At 41.1% G+C, this 16,623-nt stretch overlaps 1 long non-coding RNA gene across 1 annotated transcript; it reads right to left on the bottom strand.

Moving 5' to 3' along the window:
- Positions 1–3,729: 3,729 nt before the first annotated feature.
- LOC124900721 (uncharacterized) lies at positions 3,730–12,278 on the bottom strand. The gene is made up of 2 exons (XR_007058152.1): positions 9,504–12,278; positions 3,730–3,897 (listed from the first exon to the last, which is right to left on the bottom strand). It is a non-coding gene; the product is annotated as an uncharacterized LOC124900721 (long non-coding RNA).
- Positions 12,279–16,623: the final 4,345 nt, after the last annotated feature.

The raw sequence follows: 16,623 nt of genomic DNA, 5'->3' as shown, positions 1-16,623 counted from the left end.
TACACTGCATATAACAATAGGATTGGCTACAACAAAACGAAACTAAACTGAAAGTCACTTCACTAGGAGTTAGCTGCATTCTCCTAGTCTAAAATGCTTCATTTGGTACCATTCTCCTTCAGGTGAGTGATGAGAGGAAGCCTCCTCTCATCCCTAGGATAGATTAGCCCCTACTGCTGGTCTCTTACTTTGCTCACTAGCAGGTCTTCCAGAATTTTCCCCAATGAGATTTGATGTTCTAGATGGCCTTAACACTGCTGAGATTCCCTCTAGCTATCTAGACAGATATCTTCCTTCTTCTCTCTGTCAAGTGTCATTGCAAATGTATCCCAGGAAAATCCCGCTACAATTCTTTCAAATCTCAGAATAGAATTTTCAGGTACAATCTGTTTGCAAATAATACACCTGTCCAAAAGTTAAGCCTAACTAATGACTCACTTTTCTGATTGCCAGCCTCACAGAAACAAGAATGAGGTACGGGGTCGGGGGTGGTGGGATACTATAGGAATTCTTTTGAGTCAGAAAAATTCAGTATACAGGACCACTTAGTTGGCAATAATGGTTTCAGCACCAGACATTTTTAGACTTTTACTTAAAAATTCAAAGCTTTGATATTTCTCAGGACCAGATGAATTTTGTCTGTGCCCTGGCTAGTGAATCCAGCAATTACTTTTCATTTGCCAAAATGATGAGTGTTTCAGTTTTCCAGGAACTAACATTGCCTAATTGGATGTCACCTCAATGGATGTCAGGATCATAGTGAATAATAATAATTTGGTAAAATTGTTTTGTTACTAGTACTTATAGGAATTTAAACAAAGTTGGTAGGTGGTGCTGGTTCTTCTCAACAGATCATTGTCTTTTAAAAGGGGGGAAGTGACTAGAGAACAGGCACAAACTAATTCCTTTCATAAGTGAGGTTGTAGAACTCATGATGCCAATACTTAGGCTATATATAAGTGAAGACAGAAAGCCATGTCATTTTCTAAGCTCAACAAAAATAAAAGAGAGGGCTGGGCCTGATGGCTTGCGCCTGTAATCCCAGCACTTTGGGAGGCTGAGGCAGGCAGATTGCTTGAGCTCAAGAATTCGAGACCAGCCTGGGCAACATGATGAAAACTCATCTCTAAAAATATATATAATATAATATAATAATAATAAAATTGAGGATTGCCCATATTAGTCATTTTTTTCTCAAATATTCCTGGTAATAAGAATACCAAAAGCATAGACATTGCTATGACATGTAGCAGAAAATACTCTGGCCTGCCAGGTGCAGTGGCTCACACCTGTAATCCCAGCACTTTGGGAGGCTGAGGTGGGTGGATCACGAGGTCAAGAGTTCGAGACCATCCTAGCCGACATGCTGAAACCCCATTTCTACTAAAAATACAAAAAATAGCTGAGCGTGGTGGCACTCGCCTGTAGTCCTAGCTTCTTGGGAGGTTGAGGCAGGAGAATCGATTGAACCTGGGAGGTGGAGGTTGCAGAGAGCTGAGATCACGCCACTGTTCTGCAACTTGGTGACAGAGTGAGACTCTGTAAAAAAAAAAAAAAAAGAAAAGAAAAAAGAAAAGAGAAAAGAAAATACTACTCTGGGCTCAGAATTAGGAGACCTAAACTTTGGCCCTGTGTGGCCCTAAGCAAGTACTTCTCTTTCGGTCTGTCCTCATGTATAAAATATTGAATAACTACTGAGGAAATGTTTAACCTAAATTTTGATGACTGATGATGTCATTCATCTCAGTTTCAGTTCAGTGTGCATGACCTAATTGACATGACCTAAACACAAACTCTCTCTCTCAAGAAACTTTGAAGGTGACCACAGCAGCTAAAATGAATTGAACTGGGAGAAAAGGAGAGGCAAGATATTAATATTAATTATTCATTCATTTATTTACAAATACTTTTGAGCACTTAATAAGCACCAGACACTACTACAGGTGCTGAGGATACAACAGTGAACAAATCGAAGATCTGGTCTTCTTAGAGTTTATTTTCCAGATGGGTGGATATGTCATGAGCAAATAAACATGTAAAACAGAGTGTGTCCAAAGGTGACAAGTCCTGTGTAGAAAAGCAGAGTGAGAAAGAGGGGGTGCTTCAGGTTGCTTTTATATAGGATAGCTGTGAGTGAGATGGCTTTTGAAGAGAGACCTGCAGGAGGTCAGAGACAAAGTCAGGCTATTTCCTGCTTTGGACTAGCAAGTGCAAAGACCCTGAGGTGGGAGTATATTTGGCATGCTTTAGGGGTTGCTGGAGCACAGTGAGGAAGAGGAAGAGTGGTAGGAGATGAGATCAAAGGGAAGGAAAAATGGAAAAAGAAGCTGGAAGCTGTTATTTATTTGAATATGAATTGTCCCCATCTCCTTATTTGTGAATTTTTTGCTACCTGAATTAGGCAGGGGGAAATATACTGGCTCAGTGTGTTAATAGCATCTGTTCTGATTTGGATGGAACCAGGATCTGATCTGCACAGAAACACAAGTATTCCTTGGAGAGTGAAGCAACATTTCCTTCATTTTCAGCAAAGTTTAACTGATTTTATATCAGTGCCTTCAGTCTCTCCCTTCCTCTAGTGTGTGGCCCTGTAGTAGTCCTACTAACCAACACAATTGTGGTGGATGCAGTGAGACAGGCACCCAGCGTCCATTCCAGCTTCCTTCATGCGTGTCTTCCAGTACTGCAGAGACTAGAAATCTAAAAACCATTTAGATTTCTAGCCCCAGAACTCATCTATGGCTGGATTAGATGCTCTTGCATGAGTCAGGAAGGTGAAAATGAGGCAGAATCACTTCCTGCTTTTCTTGCTCTCTGTTGCCCAATGAGCTTTTTCTGCAGTAAACGCCAGTATCTAGTCACCAGTTTCATGGGCGTGAGAAGGCAATTACAAAGGCAGCAGCGGGAATGGCTTTCAGGGCTGCGTTAGCATGTTCATTGGCCTTAGACACTCTTGCTTTGATGGGCCCCTTCCTCCATTAAAAAAATTAAAAATTTTATGACTGTGTTGGGATAAAGACGAGTATATATTTTTTAAATTTTTTTATTTTCATAGATTTTTGGGGAGTAGGTGGTGTTTGGTTATATGAGTAAGTTCTTTAGTGGTGATTTGTGAGATTTTGGTGCATCCATCACCCAATCAGTGTACACTGAGCCCAATTTGCAGTCTTATATCCCTCACCCCCTCCCACCTTTCCCCCCAGGTCCCCAAAGTCCATTGTGCCATTCTTATGCCTTTGCATCCTCATAGCTTAGCTCCCACTTATGAGTGAGAACATATGATGTTTGATTTTCCTTCCTGAGTTACTCACTTAGAATAATAGTCTTCTATCCCATCCAGGTTGCTGTGAATGCCATTAATTCATTACTGAGTAGTAATTTTTATTTTATGGCTGAGTAGTATTCGCTTTCTCTATATATAGGTCTCTCTATATATAGCTATATAATAGCTCTATATATATAGCTATATAATAGCTCTATATATATAGCTATATAATAGCTCTCTATATATATATAGCTATATAATAGCTCTCTCTCTATATATAGCTATATAATAGCTCTCTCTCTATATATAGCTATATAATAGCTCTCTCTATATATACACATATATCTAGAGAAATTCTATATATACATATAGAGAGATACATATACCTTCATACATATATAGTATGTATTATATATGTATTTATTATATATATAGAGAGAAATACACACACGCACACACATATATATATAGCAAGAGAGAGAGACAGAGATTTATTTTAGGAATTGGCTCACGTTATTGTACAGGCAGGCAAGTCCAAAATCTTCAGAGTGAGCTGGTCACCTGGAGCCCCAGGGAAGAGTTGGTATTGCTGGTCAAGTCTAAAGGCAGTCTGCTGGCAAAATTCTCTCTGCCTAATGGGAAGGAGAGGGAGTCTTTATCTGTTAAGGCCTCCAGCTGATCAGATGAGAGCCACCCACATTATGGAAGATAATCTGCTTTACTCAAAGTCTACTGATTTAAATGGCAATCTCATTTAAAAAATATTCTCACAGACACAATTAGAATAATATTTAAACAAATACTGTGGTCTAGCCAATTTGACACAGAAAATTAACCATCACAGTCCCCATTCACATGGATCCTCTTTCTTCTGCCGTCTGGCCTGAAAGATGCTCTCCTGTGAAATCACTGTTCTCCCAACTGTTTTCAGCATGATAGCCTTATCTTCTCTGCTCAAGTCAGCGGGTGAGGTGGAGCGGCCAGCTCTTTCCTCCCTCCAGTGTGCTTTCTCACCCTTGAACTACCCTCACCCACTCTCACCCTCTGCCCAGTTGAAGACTGTGCAGTTCTCAATGCTGTGACTCACCAGATTCCATCCTCACTTCCCAAGCTTACTTCAGCAGCGGACTCAGTCCTGCTCCTCTGCCCTGCCCTTTGCCATAATCTATATTGACTCTGGAATCCACATTAACCTTTTAGATTCCTTTACCCCAGAGGTATTTCCTGGGTTGAAGACCTCCACCTTTGACCTGCCTTAGTCAGTGTCGTTAACACTCAGGGTAATCTCTGTTTCTGAGATCTATTATCCCATTTGCAGCCACAGCCTGTCATCTCCTTCACCCCACCCAGGAAGCCCATCTCTAGCTTCCCTGGAACCTCTCCTGCGTCACATGATCTATCCCATTTCATTCACTAATTCTATTTGCCTTCACTGCTTCCTGCCTTGCTTACTAGAATCATAGACTCCCTGTGTGCCCCTAAATTCTGGACTTCACTTCCAAAGAACCCATGGAAATAAATGTAAAGTAGTAATAAGGTGGCAATGTGGTAGATAAAATTAGATGGGATTTCCTCCTCCTCTTCTTATTGCTCCTATTCTTCATCTTCCTCTCATTCGTTTTCGTTTGTGTTTCCAGGTAACTGTGCTTTGAAGAAAGAGGTGGAACTTTGAAGCTGTGGCTCATTTCCTTCCCAGAGCCATCTAACTTGAGCCACCCCAGTGCTCCTCCTACCTCTCCATTTCACTTCCAAAACACTTGGTGACTCCCTAGCACGCCAACACAGAGAATCACTGTTCTAGAGGATTTCTACCCTAAAAGCCTCCGTTTTCTTCTCTCAACTCCTCCACCCTGTAACCCCACAAAGTTACACACAGTTACACCTCCTACTTTATAGTGACTACTGAAAATAGTCCTTCCTATTTTGGGATGTGTCCCTCCAGAAACAGATGCTGAGAAAAGGATCCAGGGATCCCAGGAAGCACTGGGAAGTGAGTGCAGAAGTGAGACAGAAAAAGAAAGAAAGCCGGTACAGGGTGTGTTGTGAGTCAGTTGTCACTGCGGGCAGCTGGGGCTCAGACTTCCTGGGGGTCTCAGGGGCAGCATAGATCATGCCTCAGAGTTGTCTCACTTGGGAGGCAAGAGCCTGTGGTATTTATCCATGGCCTCCATCTGTCACTGGTTGAGAGCCACCCCAGGGGTGTTACTCCCTGACACTTCTGTTCTGACCCAAGTGTGGTCAGCTCCCACAGACAGATAAAGGCTGCAGCAGGGTCACCGGCACTTGCAGTAAGGAGAGTCAGAACGTAGGAAATGCTGAGTGTCAGGGACATCTATGGAGCACCAAGAACCTTCTATGTTTCCTATCTAACTAGCTTTACTGTAAATGTAACTATCCCTGTTTCTAGCTTCCTATCCTTTTATTCATTGTCTTAGGTATTCTTGGATGTATCATTTTAATTTAATCTTCTTGACCATAGAAGTTGGCATTATCTCAATTTTATAGAAGAAGAAACTGAGAAATTAAGAGTAAGCAACTTCACAAAAATTACCAAGCTAGTAAGTTCTGGAACTGTTATTTAAAGTCTCAAAAATCCAAGTATTTTCTAGTGGAGCAGAAATGCAAGGGCAGAACCTTGGGACCACCCATCATTATTAGCAATGTCCTGGGTAATAAGAGATGGGTTCAGAGTAGAAATAGAGGGGTTATGTCAGAGAAGGGAAAAAACTCTTCATCTAAGACTGGTTTTGACCCTGTTCCCTGATTCAATTACTATTGACACAGCACACTAAAGCTTAGTAGGCCAGAATCTTACTGTTTCTCCCAGAGGCCCTTATATAATTTCTAAGAACAAAGATCAGATAAAATGCAATTTGCAGAATAAGTGATGTCTGGCATATAATAAGTACTCAATTTAATTTAACAATTATGTATTGATAATCTAATATGTGCCAGGCGTTGGACTAGATGCTAAGAATGATGGTGGACCACAAATATTGACTGACAGAGGCAGGAGTTCGCTTTTGAATATGAAATATATACCCCACATTCTCAAACTAACTAATTATACATAACCATCAACTAACAATGGCCACTTTCACAGTTAAGACGAACCTAGTACTCAATAGTTTTCTCAGATCTGCCTTGACTTATTTTCATTTAACATTTAACAACAGCAGATAATGTTGACGTGAAAAGAGCACACTAAACATAGGATTGCTGTGAGGATTAAATGAAATAAGTGCCAAATCCCAGGCATTTAATATAATTGATCATTCTTATCTTTATTATAGACTGTAAGTTCCATGAAAACAGGCACTGAATTTTTTTTTCTTTTTTTTGAGATGGAGTCTCGCTCTGTCACCCAGGCTAGAGTGCAGTGGCATTATCTAGGCTCACTGCAACCTCTGCCTCCCAGGTTCAAGCAATTCTCCTGCCTCAGCCTCTTGAGTAGCTGGGATTACTAGTGTGCGCCACCATGCCCGGCTAATTTTTGTATTTTTAGTAGAGACTGGGTTTCACCATGTTGGTCAGGCTGGTCACGAACTCTTGACTTCAAGTGATTCATCCGCCTCGGCCTCCCAAAGTGCTGAGATTACAGGCTTGAGCCACCGCGCCCAGCCGAACAGGTAGTAAATTTTTACATGTATATGCAGCTTTTAGAGTAGTGTTTAGTACACAGTAGGCTTTCAGTTCACATTGATAGGCTAAATGAGTAATATGGATATTATTACTCCAATTTCTCAGATGAAATTAATACTCAGAGAGATTGAATAAGCTGCTCACTTTCTCAAAGCTAGTTGCTGTAAGAGTTAGGATAAATGACCTATTTCTTTTTTTTTTATCCTATGTACAGTCATTCCTAATAAATAACGTACTTCTAACTCCACTGTGCCCTAAGGGCTTCTCTAAAGCATGTAGCGTGACGCTGAGCACACAGTAGTTCTTCAACAGTTGCCACTATTGCTGTGTGTCACCGGTCAGCGGTGTGTTATTAGTTCATTACTGTCTTATGATAAACTTCTCCATTGGCTTGCAGGTACAGAGAGCAACTCTGCTGCTTCTCCTCCGGAGTGCGGCATCATCTTCCTGCTCTTCCTTCCATTTGCTCTGTTGGCTCCTACTCCCCTTCCACTGAAGTAACTGTAGCTTTCCCCAGGGCTTAGGCCCAGGCCCTACTGAACCTCTATTTCTGTGTGTTTGTCTGCACGTCTGCAATCACTTCAACTCAAACTGCACCCACCAACGACATGACCCTTAGAAGCTGCCAAATCCTCGTTGCTGAATGGTTTCAGTACTGCTACTGCTGGAGAAAAAGAAGAAAAATTCACATCCTTCCCCCCAAAAAAGAAAGGGGGAAACATGGAACCAGGGAAATTCTGTAAGTAATGGTGAACTGTTTATTCAGGGCTCCAACTCTGCCCTTGCACATGTGCCCCGCTGTGGCACAGTCTATAGTTTTGAACTTCGGATAGTACAGTGCTCAGCAAGTGAAGATATTACCTTCTGGTCTGAGAGCCTCCTGACCAGTCTTGTCAGATTGAAAGATACTGACTTGGCTCTATCAAGGTGGCTTCTGTCCTGTACTAGATGACTTTATATTATTGATATGTAAGCTTCTGAGAGACTTATTTAGACTTCAGTATTACTGACCGTTAGATGCCAGTGATGTGTGGTGAAGTTGCTCAGTGTGTGAAGTCAGAGAATTTATGAGACACCCAAGTGTTCAGACCTACCTCCCAACCCCAGAGCCCAAGAAACGGGCCTCTAAAGTAAAGAGCTTTGTAACTGTTGCTACTGCTGTATCATGGTCCCAGCGTGAGAGAGTCAAGCGTATAGATTTTGGATCTACTGTATAGAAATCTCAGTTTGTTTTGTGGCTCCAGAACTATATCTAGAGTGGTCTTAACGTTTCTGAGCCTCTTTCCAGACTAGTAAATTGAGATAAGGTTACCTGCCTCATGGTGTTGTTATAAAGTCAAAATGAGACAAAATATATGAATTGCTCATAGTGAGTGTTAAGAAATGGTGCTTATTATTATTGAAACAAGAGGACCTCTGAAAGAATGCAAGTCAATGCCTACTGGCTCTTCAGGTCGGTTGGCTGAGAAGAGCATGTGAGGTTATAAAGCCACAGTCCAAAGGGAGCTGAATTCTCTCTGCCTGCACAGAGAGGTCAAGAATGTGGTGCAGTTGGTTAAGTTGTGAAAGTTCCACATGATTATACAGAATTTGCAGTCCTTTGTCAATTTTCCCATAATGACTAAGTCTTTCAAAATAAAAAAGACCTTATGCATATACTTGATAACAGCAAAAGAGACTGGGAAATTGGGGAAAGATGTAAATAATAGCCAATGACTACATATTTCAGATATTGTGCTAATTCCTTTACTTGTGTTTCCTCATCTAATTCCTTGTATCTTCCATGACAGATCTAAGCATTCCATCCTTCCTGGCACCTGGGTCTTCCTGGCACTATGAATTGATAAATTATTACTCCTATCTTAGAAACAAAAGGAAATGATGGATCAGCGAGGCTAAGTAATTTGCCGAAAGTTACACGGCAAGTTGGTGGTACTGAAACCAACATTGTATGGCTCTGGCATCTTTCCTTCACATCTAGGAAAGGGAAGGCCAGGGGGCCTGTTTTTCCTGAAGAAAGAAGACAGGACCATCACACTGAGGAAGCCAAGAAAAGCAGTGCAGGAAAAGCCGGGCAAGTGCAGTGTTCCCAGAGACGTAACCAGAGAAAGATCTGTGAAGTTTCCTCACAGGGACTTTCTCTGGGTGGATTCTAGATTCTGGGAAGCCGTGGGCCTCCCAAGAAGTTTTTGGCAGCACCTGGTCCAGCCAAACTACATATTCAATACCCAGAAGAGAGAGAGAGGAGAAAATCAAGAATGGACAGTTTGTTGCCTGGTGGCCAGGGAAGGTCCCCATATTGAAATAATTCAAAGTAGACTTAACAGTGCAAAGGCTTCTTTTTCATGTCAACAGTGCTGAGGTTAGCCAGAAATTAAAGCAGAGGAGGTTAGGAAGAGACAGGAGGTAGAGAGAGGAAGGAAGTGCTTTTCTCCCCACCACCGTCTTCTCTCTAGAAACATGTTTGAATAAATTGGAGACATTCTCCAGTCATTGCTGCCTAATGGAGTTTTCCATTGACAGAAGGCTCAGGTGTGGGCTGGTTACACAGAGGATCTGAAATAACACTCAGGGGCCCTGTGCTTTTTGGTCCTACCTCCTTGGAGTCCTGAAGACTGAGGTGAGGCACAGGAAGAATTGGAAAAGACGCATGTCTATCCATACCACTCACTTCCTAGGAAAGAGTCAGCTCTGAGTGTACACAGGATGGGTCTTACATGGCTCCAATCCATGGCAGGGTGGTCTACTTGGCCCTCTTATTACCTGTCAGTATCTGGGAAAGCAGGCAATAGAATTAGCATCTATTCTGTAAGCTCCAGCATGGAGAAGACTTAAACTGATCTCTAGTTATCTTCAATAGATAGGATACCGTAATAAGATTTCTGAAATCAGAGAAAGAGAGAAACAGAGAAGCCAGACTTTCCATTAGATACTTCAGAAACAAGAGGAACACACACAAAAAATAAGGATGGACTCTGATATTCAGTGCCCAGTGATGGCCTCTTCACTGAGGATTAGTAGCCCACTCGGCTGGGTGTGGTGGCTCACACTTGTAATCTTAGCACTTGGGGAGGCCGAGGAGTTCGAGACCAGCCTGGGCAACACAGTGAGACCTTGTTGCTATTTTTTAAAAAAAGAAAGAAACAGAAAAGGATTAACAGCTCACTTAACTCATGTACTATTTGATACATTATTTTCCAATATTATCAAATACGGGGATCTTGTTCTTATCTCTACTAATCTTTATATCTTCAAAGCCCTACCAATCAATTCCTTTAATACCTAGCTCAGAGGTGACATTCCTGGTGAATCCTGCCCTGCATACTTAATTAATCCTTCATTTGAGTTCTAGGTGCCTTTTAATAACCAAATTTTCTTATATGTCATGTAAAGATATTCTTAAATTATTAAGTCAATAAATTTAAATTTACTTAGAAAACACAACTTTGACAAAAAAAGAAAAATGCATCAGCTGTAATGCTACTACCCAGAGATAAACAGTTACCATGGTCATGTACATTTTCCCAGCCCTTCTGGTGTCAACTAAAGAAAAAAAAATCAAGCTTGTAAAGAATGAAAGGTGGTTGTATTTAGAAGTCTTACTGAGGACTATAGACTGAGGCCTAGAGCCTGGGAACAGTCCTTCAAAGAGGTTCTGTCAGACTGCTCTGAAATGGTGTTTTAGCTCACAGTTTATATATGAGTTGTGAAGGTTTAGTACTTGTAAAATCACATCAAATGTGTGCAGAAGTTACATTAAAGCAGAATCACATCGAAGTTTGGGTGTAAGAGTACAGCTGGTTATAGATTACAGAGGCATCATCACTAACCCCATCAGATATTACCTTACGTGTAAGAAAAGGCAGGGAATAGAGTCATTTATCTTTTAAGGAACTTAGTGACTCAGGCAAGAGACATGATGGGGCCATGTGCTCTATCCTGCTTTGCCTTCAAAGCATATTTCCGGAGAGCTGCACGTCGTCACAGAGTTAGGCTTCGTGAAATTATGCTGGCATGCAGAAATGAGCAGACATGCCTCCTTACATTTGCTATGTTGTCTCACACTGGTTTTCTTTTTCTGTTTCGTCAAGCAACTTTTCTTCCATTTAGCAAAATATCATAAACATCTTTTGTGTGTATCTGTATCTATTTCTATATCTATCAGTATTTCTGATACTTAGTAGTCCGCAGCATTTTTACTAGCATTGTTACAGTACATATCATATTTTACTATAGTTAATTTTAAGTAGCTAGCATTTACATATGCTTACAATGTACTGGGTCATTCTAAGTACTTACATGCATCGATCCATTTAATCTTTGTAATCCTAGGTGGTTGGTCTAATTACTACTATCACTCAAATTTCACAGATGAAGGAATCTGAGACATAAAGGGCTTAAGTAATTTTCCCACGATCACACAGCTAGAGACTTTAGAGCTGTTAGAGCTAGAATTTGTCCAGCTAGGCTGACTCCAGACTTTTAACCACTGTGCAATACAACTTTAACAGTCTTTAACTGAACACCTAGTAATTGGCAGTTGCTTCAAATATCTTATCCTTTAACTCTGCAAGTTGCAAAGAGTGTGAGAATTTTGTGTGGAAGCCACATTTGCTTAATCCCCAAACCCACCCACCGCTATCACCACTATGCTGTCCTTGCCAATTAGCCAAGTATCTGTCTTTCCTCTCCTTTGCTTATTCCCCAGATCGTCAACTCCTTGAAGTCAGGAAATGTGTAGCTTTCTTCACTTTTATAACTCCAACACCTGGCGTAGTTTCTGGACTACAGTTACCATGTAATAAATGTTGGAAGAATAAAGGTTGGAAGGAGTTTGGTTTGACTGATAAAAACCAAGAAAAATATTTTTCATGAAGTTATCAGATGTCAAATTCTATTTAACACCGGTTTAAATAGAATTTGCAGACATGATCTGGAACTTTCTTTGTGGACTTGGCTCTCTGACACAAAACAAAACAAAAAATTTAAATGCAACTTTGGAAATCTCTAAACTCTTCTGAGGTCTGTGGCCAGGGGCACCAATGCAAGCCAGTTACGCTGTGGATTGCTGCAGTTCTCTAAAAGGAGGGGTGAATTTGGGCTAATTCTCACCAACTCCCTACCCTTGTGACCTTTGTTCTTCTCTACTTTCTACCCCACTGTGGCATGCTCTTTTTCGTAGGAGCTGATTTTATCCCAATGTTCTTTTTCAAAACTTCCTTTTATCTGGTGGTTGATATTGTAGCAATTGGCAAATCACATCTGTCGCTTCACAGCAAGTCTGATGCTCTGCCAGGTCACCTTGGACCACTATGTTTTTTTTTGAGATAGAGTTTCACTCTTGTCACCCAGGCTGGAATGCAATGGCACCATCTCGGCTCACTGCAACCTCTTTCTCCCATGTTCAAGCGAATTCTCCTGCCTCAGCCTCCTGAGTAGCTGGGATTACAGGCATCTGCCACCACGCCCAGCTAATTTTTTTGTACTTTTAGTAGAGACAGGGTTTCACCATGTTGGCCAGGCTGGTCTCAAACTCCTGACCTCAGGTGATCTGCCTTCCTCGGTTTTCCAGAGTGTTGGGATTACAGGGGTGAGCCACCACGCCTGGCCTGGACCACTATTTATTGCCACATCCAGTTCCACAAAGTTTATGCCCAAAGAGGTCACATGTACATTTTGATAGCTAGTTTTTTCTTATGCATGGTTGTGTCATAAAACCTTTCAGCTGAATGGGCTGCTCTGGTATTCTGGGTTTGGGATTTCTTTTAACAGTTTACTGCAGCAGCCATTCAATGTTACCTCCTACTCTGTAACCCTCCTCCTCATTTGAAATTCTCCTCTCTCTCACTGTTGACTTTGTAAACTCTACAGAAATAGGCAAACTTTGGTTTCAGAGGAGGGCTGGCCCTGGTGGGTAAAACTGGCACAAAGCTGAGTTTGATGAAACTGAAAGAAATATAGCACCAGTAAAAAGGCTTCAGCACACAGCAACCTGTACTTGCTTGACTCTCACAGTCCCACGGGAGACATACAGAGTGGGTGGGAAAGATCTGAGTTTGTCAGTTTGCTGGGGGTGGGGTTGAAAAAAAATTTGGGGTACTTTCCGTGGCTCATAAAACACAAGGTTTCACAGGCAGGAAATTGCCAAGAAGTTTGCTTTATCTTCTTTCCTAATTGCAAACTAGAAGAGGTAGCTTTACAACATCTCAAAATCCCCCAAGTGATTAGAGCACTGTATAAGCAATTGTAAGTCTTCCAAACTGAGCCAGAGAATAATGGCTAATGTTTATTGAGCACTTAACGGGTGCAGGCACTGTGGTAAGTGCATCACCTAATCTGGCTTATTGAAACCTCACGCCTACTCTGAATGATACTTGCATGGCCATCCTGGCTTTACAGGTGAGGAAACTAAGGTACAGAAAGAGTAAGCGACTCACTCCCTCACATGTCATACTACTGTCAACTGATGGGCAGGAAATAAGACTAGGAAACTTTCTTCAGATCCTGTAACCTCATCACTGAGGTGAACACAGTTGGCTCTTATCGTTGGAGGACACACTGACAACATATTAATAACACTGATTTCAGCTGACAGTTCTCTGAAGCTTCCAAGGCCTCAGAGTTACTGTCGCTGAGTAGTACTAAAACAAGTATCGCTTATTTATTCTACAAATGCTTGTTGAACACTTACTATCTGCTCTTCACTGGCAACTCACCATGCCAATGCAGTTATTGGTAACTAATTTTTATTGAGTTAAATTTTTCACATGCTTTATTTCATTTCATCCTTGCACATATTTAAGGTAGGTGCTGTTATTGTCAGCTAAAGAATTGAGTTGTATGGAGGTTAAGTATTTGTCGAGCACTGTTATCTACGCTGCTGCCATAAGTGGTGAAGCCAGGATTTGAACCCAGTTTGATATGACCCCAAAATTATTGTTTTAAAGACAAAGTAAAACTGTGGGTTATCCATATGGCATGAAATTGGGGAAATGGAAATAGGGGAAGGTACATGGAAGAAATGTCTGAACTACTGTACACTATTTTAAAAATTTCCTCAATACATTCTTACAAATAGGCTAGAGAATCTCCTATTCAACATCCTCATTTGCCATTTTTGCAGCTCCTGATTTATAGACCAAACATTCTGTTACTGTAGCGTGAAGTGTACAAACCTTCTGCTTCTGCAGCTCACCAACCACAGAGCCCAGGACTCTCTGCAGCTGGCTATTTTTCTCTTCTTTCAATCTTCAGGGACTAAACTTAGGGCTTAATGAGATGACATGAATGCACTCAATTCTGCAGGTGATCCATGTCAGAGCTAATGCACATTCATGTAAATGAAGATGGTCCTGGGAATCCAGAGAAGCCAGATGATTAAATTAAATGTTCCACATGTTTCCTTAAGAAGGAGTTTACAGTGACAATAAGATTTCTGAACCATGACAAACCTTCTATAGAAGAAGTTTCCAACAGTTTAGATTTGGCCATGTTATTCTGAAGCAAGTTAAGTAGGTTTTGCCATTGGGATGCAAGGCCGTGGGGTTCACTTTGAACTTGACATGCCACCTTGTGGAAATTGGAGGCAATAAAAAATGTGGCCATTGAATACTACTCTATAATAATTATATGATACAGGCTAACATTTATTAAGGGCTTACCATGTGCTATGCACTATGTGGAATACCTTTTAAGTGTTTTTTTTCATTTATTTTTCAAAACAATCTTATGAGGTAGGTACTATTGTTGTCCCATTTTAAAGACGAGGAATATGTGGCTTAGAAAGGTAATTGCCTGAAGTCCAATGCATACAAGGCAAAACAGATGTGAGTAGAAGGGTTAGAGGGTTACCTCATTGGGGCTTTTTTTTTTTCTGCAGAATTCTCTTGTGTGATCACTACTGTGTTCAAGTTCTCACCTTCTTCAAACTCACTCATGCACAGGTAAGGTTTTTTTGTTTTGTTTTGTTTTTGAGACGGGGTCTTGCTCTGTCACCCAGGCTGCAGTACGGTGGTGTGATCATAGCTTACTGCAGCCTCAAACTCCTGGGCTCAACTGATCATCCCACTTCAGTCTCTTGAGTAGCTGAGACTATAGGTGCACACTACCACACCCAGCTAATTTTTAAATTTTTCGTAGAGACAGAGTCTCCTGATGTTTCCTGGACTGGTCTCAAACCCCTGGGCTCAAGTGATCCTTCTGTCTCAGCCTCCCAACATGCTGGGATTAGAGGTGTGAGCCACTTTGCCCAGCCACAGATAAGTTTTAAAGTCCAGATGACCCGGATCTTAAGCCTTGGCTTTGCCACTGTGTAACCCTGGGCTGGATACCTAACCTGAGTCTCATTTTCCTCACTTGCAAAACAGGGGAAATATTGACACATGTAACCATGCTTTGTTTCAGAAAGTACTTAATACATAAGTGGTATAACAACTCTGAGGATGAATGAGATCTAAAATAAAGATTCACTGTATTAAATGCCTTTTATGTGCTGAGCACTGTTCTAATCTAAGCACTAGGCATTGAAAACTACAGTGGCCCTGGGATGGGATAAATTCTAAGGCAAAACAGTGGTTAAGAGCCTGGACACTGGAGTTGGACTACCTGGCTCTTACAGTGACAAGTTACTTAATTTCTCTAAGCTTCCATTTCCATTTCTATATCTGTGTTGGTATCTACATTGTAAGATGCCTTGAGGATTAACAAATTAAAATATACTACACTGTTTAACATAGTACCTAATACATAGTAAGCACTCTATGAGTATTAACATTGATTTATTGCTTCGTGATATACTTACTCACTAAATCACTTACACTAAAATCGTGAAGGCATACTTGACTGACACTTGGTAACTTTGAATACCATGTTTACTCAATTTTATCTCCCAAATATTTAAGTAGTTGTTTTCATTATCTCCTGCCATCATCTTAGTTATGACTGACATTTATAGTATTGATTACAGAACTAACTTGCCAAATGAGCTTCCTGACTCAAGCAATCCTCCCACCTCAGCCTCCCAAGTAGCTTGGACCACAGGCATGTGCCACCATGCCAGGCTAATTTTTGTATTTTTGGCAGAGACAGGGTCTCACTAGGTTGCCCAGGCTGGTCTCAAACTCCTGGGCTCAAGCAGTCCGCCTGCTAACCTCCCAAAGTGCTGAGATTACAGGCGTGAGCCACTGCACATGGCCAGTACGATCATTTCTATTCTGGTCCAGGAAAATAACTCTAACTGGAATTTTTTTCACTTTATCTATTTCATATCAGTCAAGGTATTTCATATTAGGTCCCACTCAAAGATGGCATGATGGATTCTTTAAATGCATAGTTTTGCCAACTCAAGAGAAAAGGAAACCTTAGAGGCTTGATTCTAAATGCCCATTCTGGGAAAGTAGTATTTAGCATGAAGCAACCATAATTCATGCTTGCCATTCAGACAGGAAGTGGTTAGATTAATCCTTCAGCAGATGTTTTCTGAAAGCTGAAATAACTTATCATGCATTACCACTCCTATAGCTTGATCACAACTACAAAGGGTAGGCCAGGGTCACATACATCTTCATCTTATTCCTTTCTTTCAAAAAAGTGTGATTAACAAGGTGATAAACTGAAGCAGTAACAGCTTCTATACAGAAACATGTTTTAAAATATTAGTTGTTGGCACCAGGCATCAAACAATGTTGGCAAGCTCTGAAAGCAAACAAAGAAATTAC

The sequence above is a fragment of the Homo sapiens genome, chromosome 4 (genome assembly GCF_000001405.40).
Source record: "Homo sapiens chromosome 4, GRCh38.p14 Primary Assembly".
NCBI lineage: Eukaryota > Metazoa > Chordata > Mammalia > Primates > Hominidae > Homo > Homo sapiens.
The sequence above is the reverse complement of the archived record's forward strand: the minus strand, read 5'-3'. Positions and strand labels throughout refer to the sequence as shown.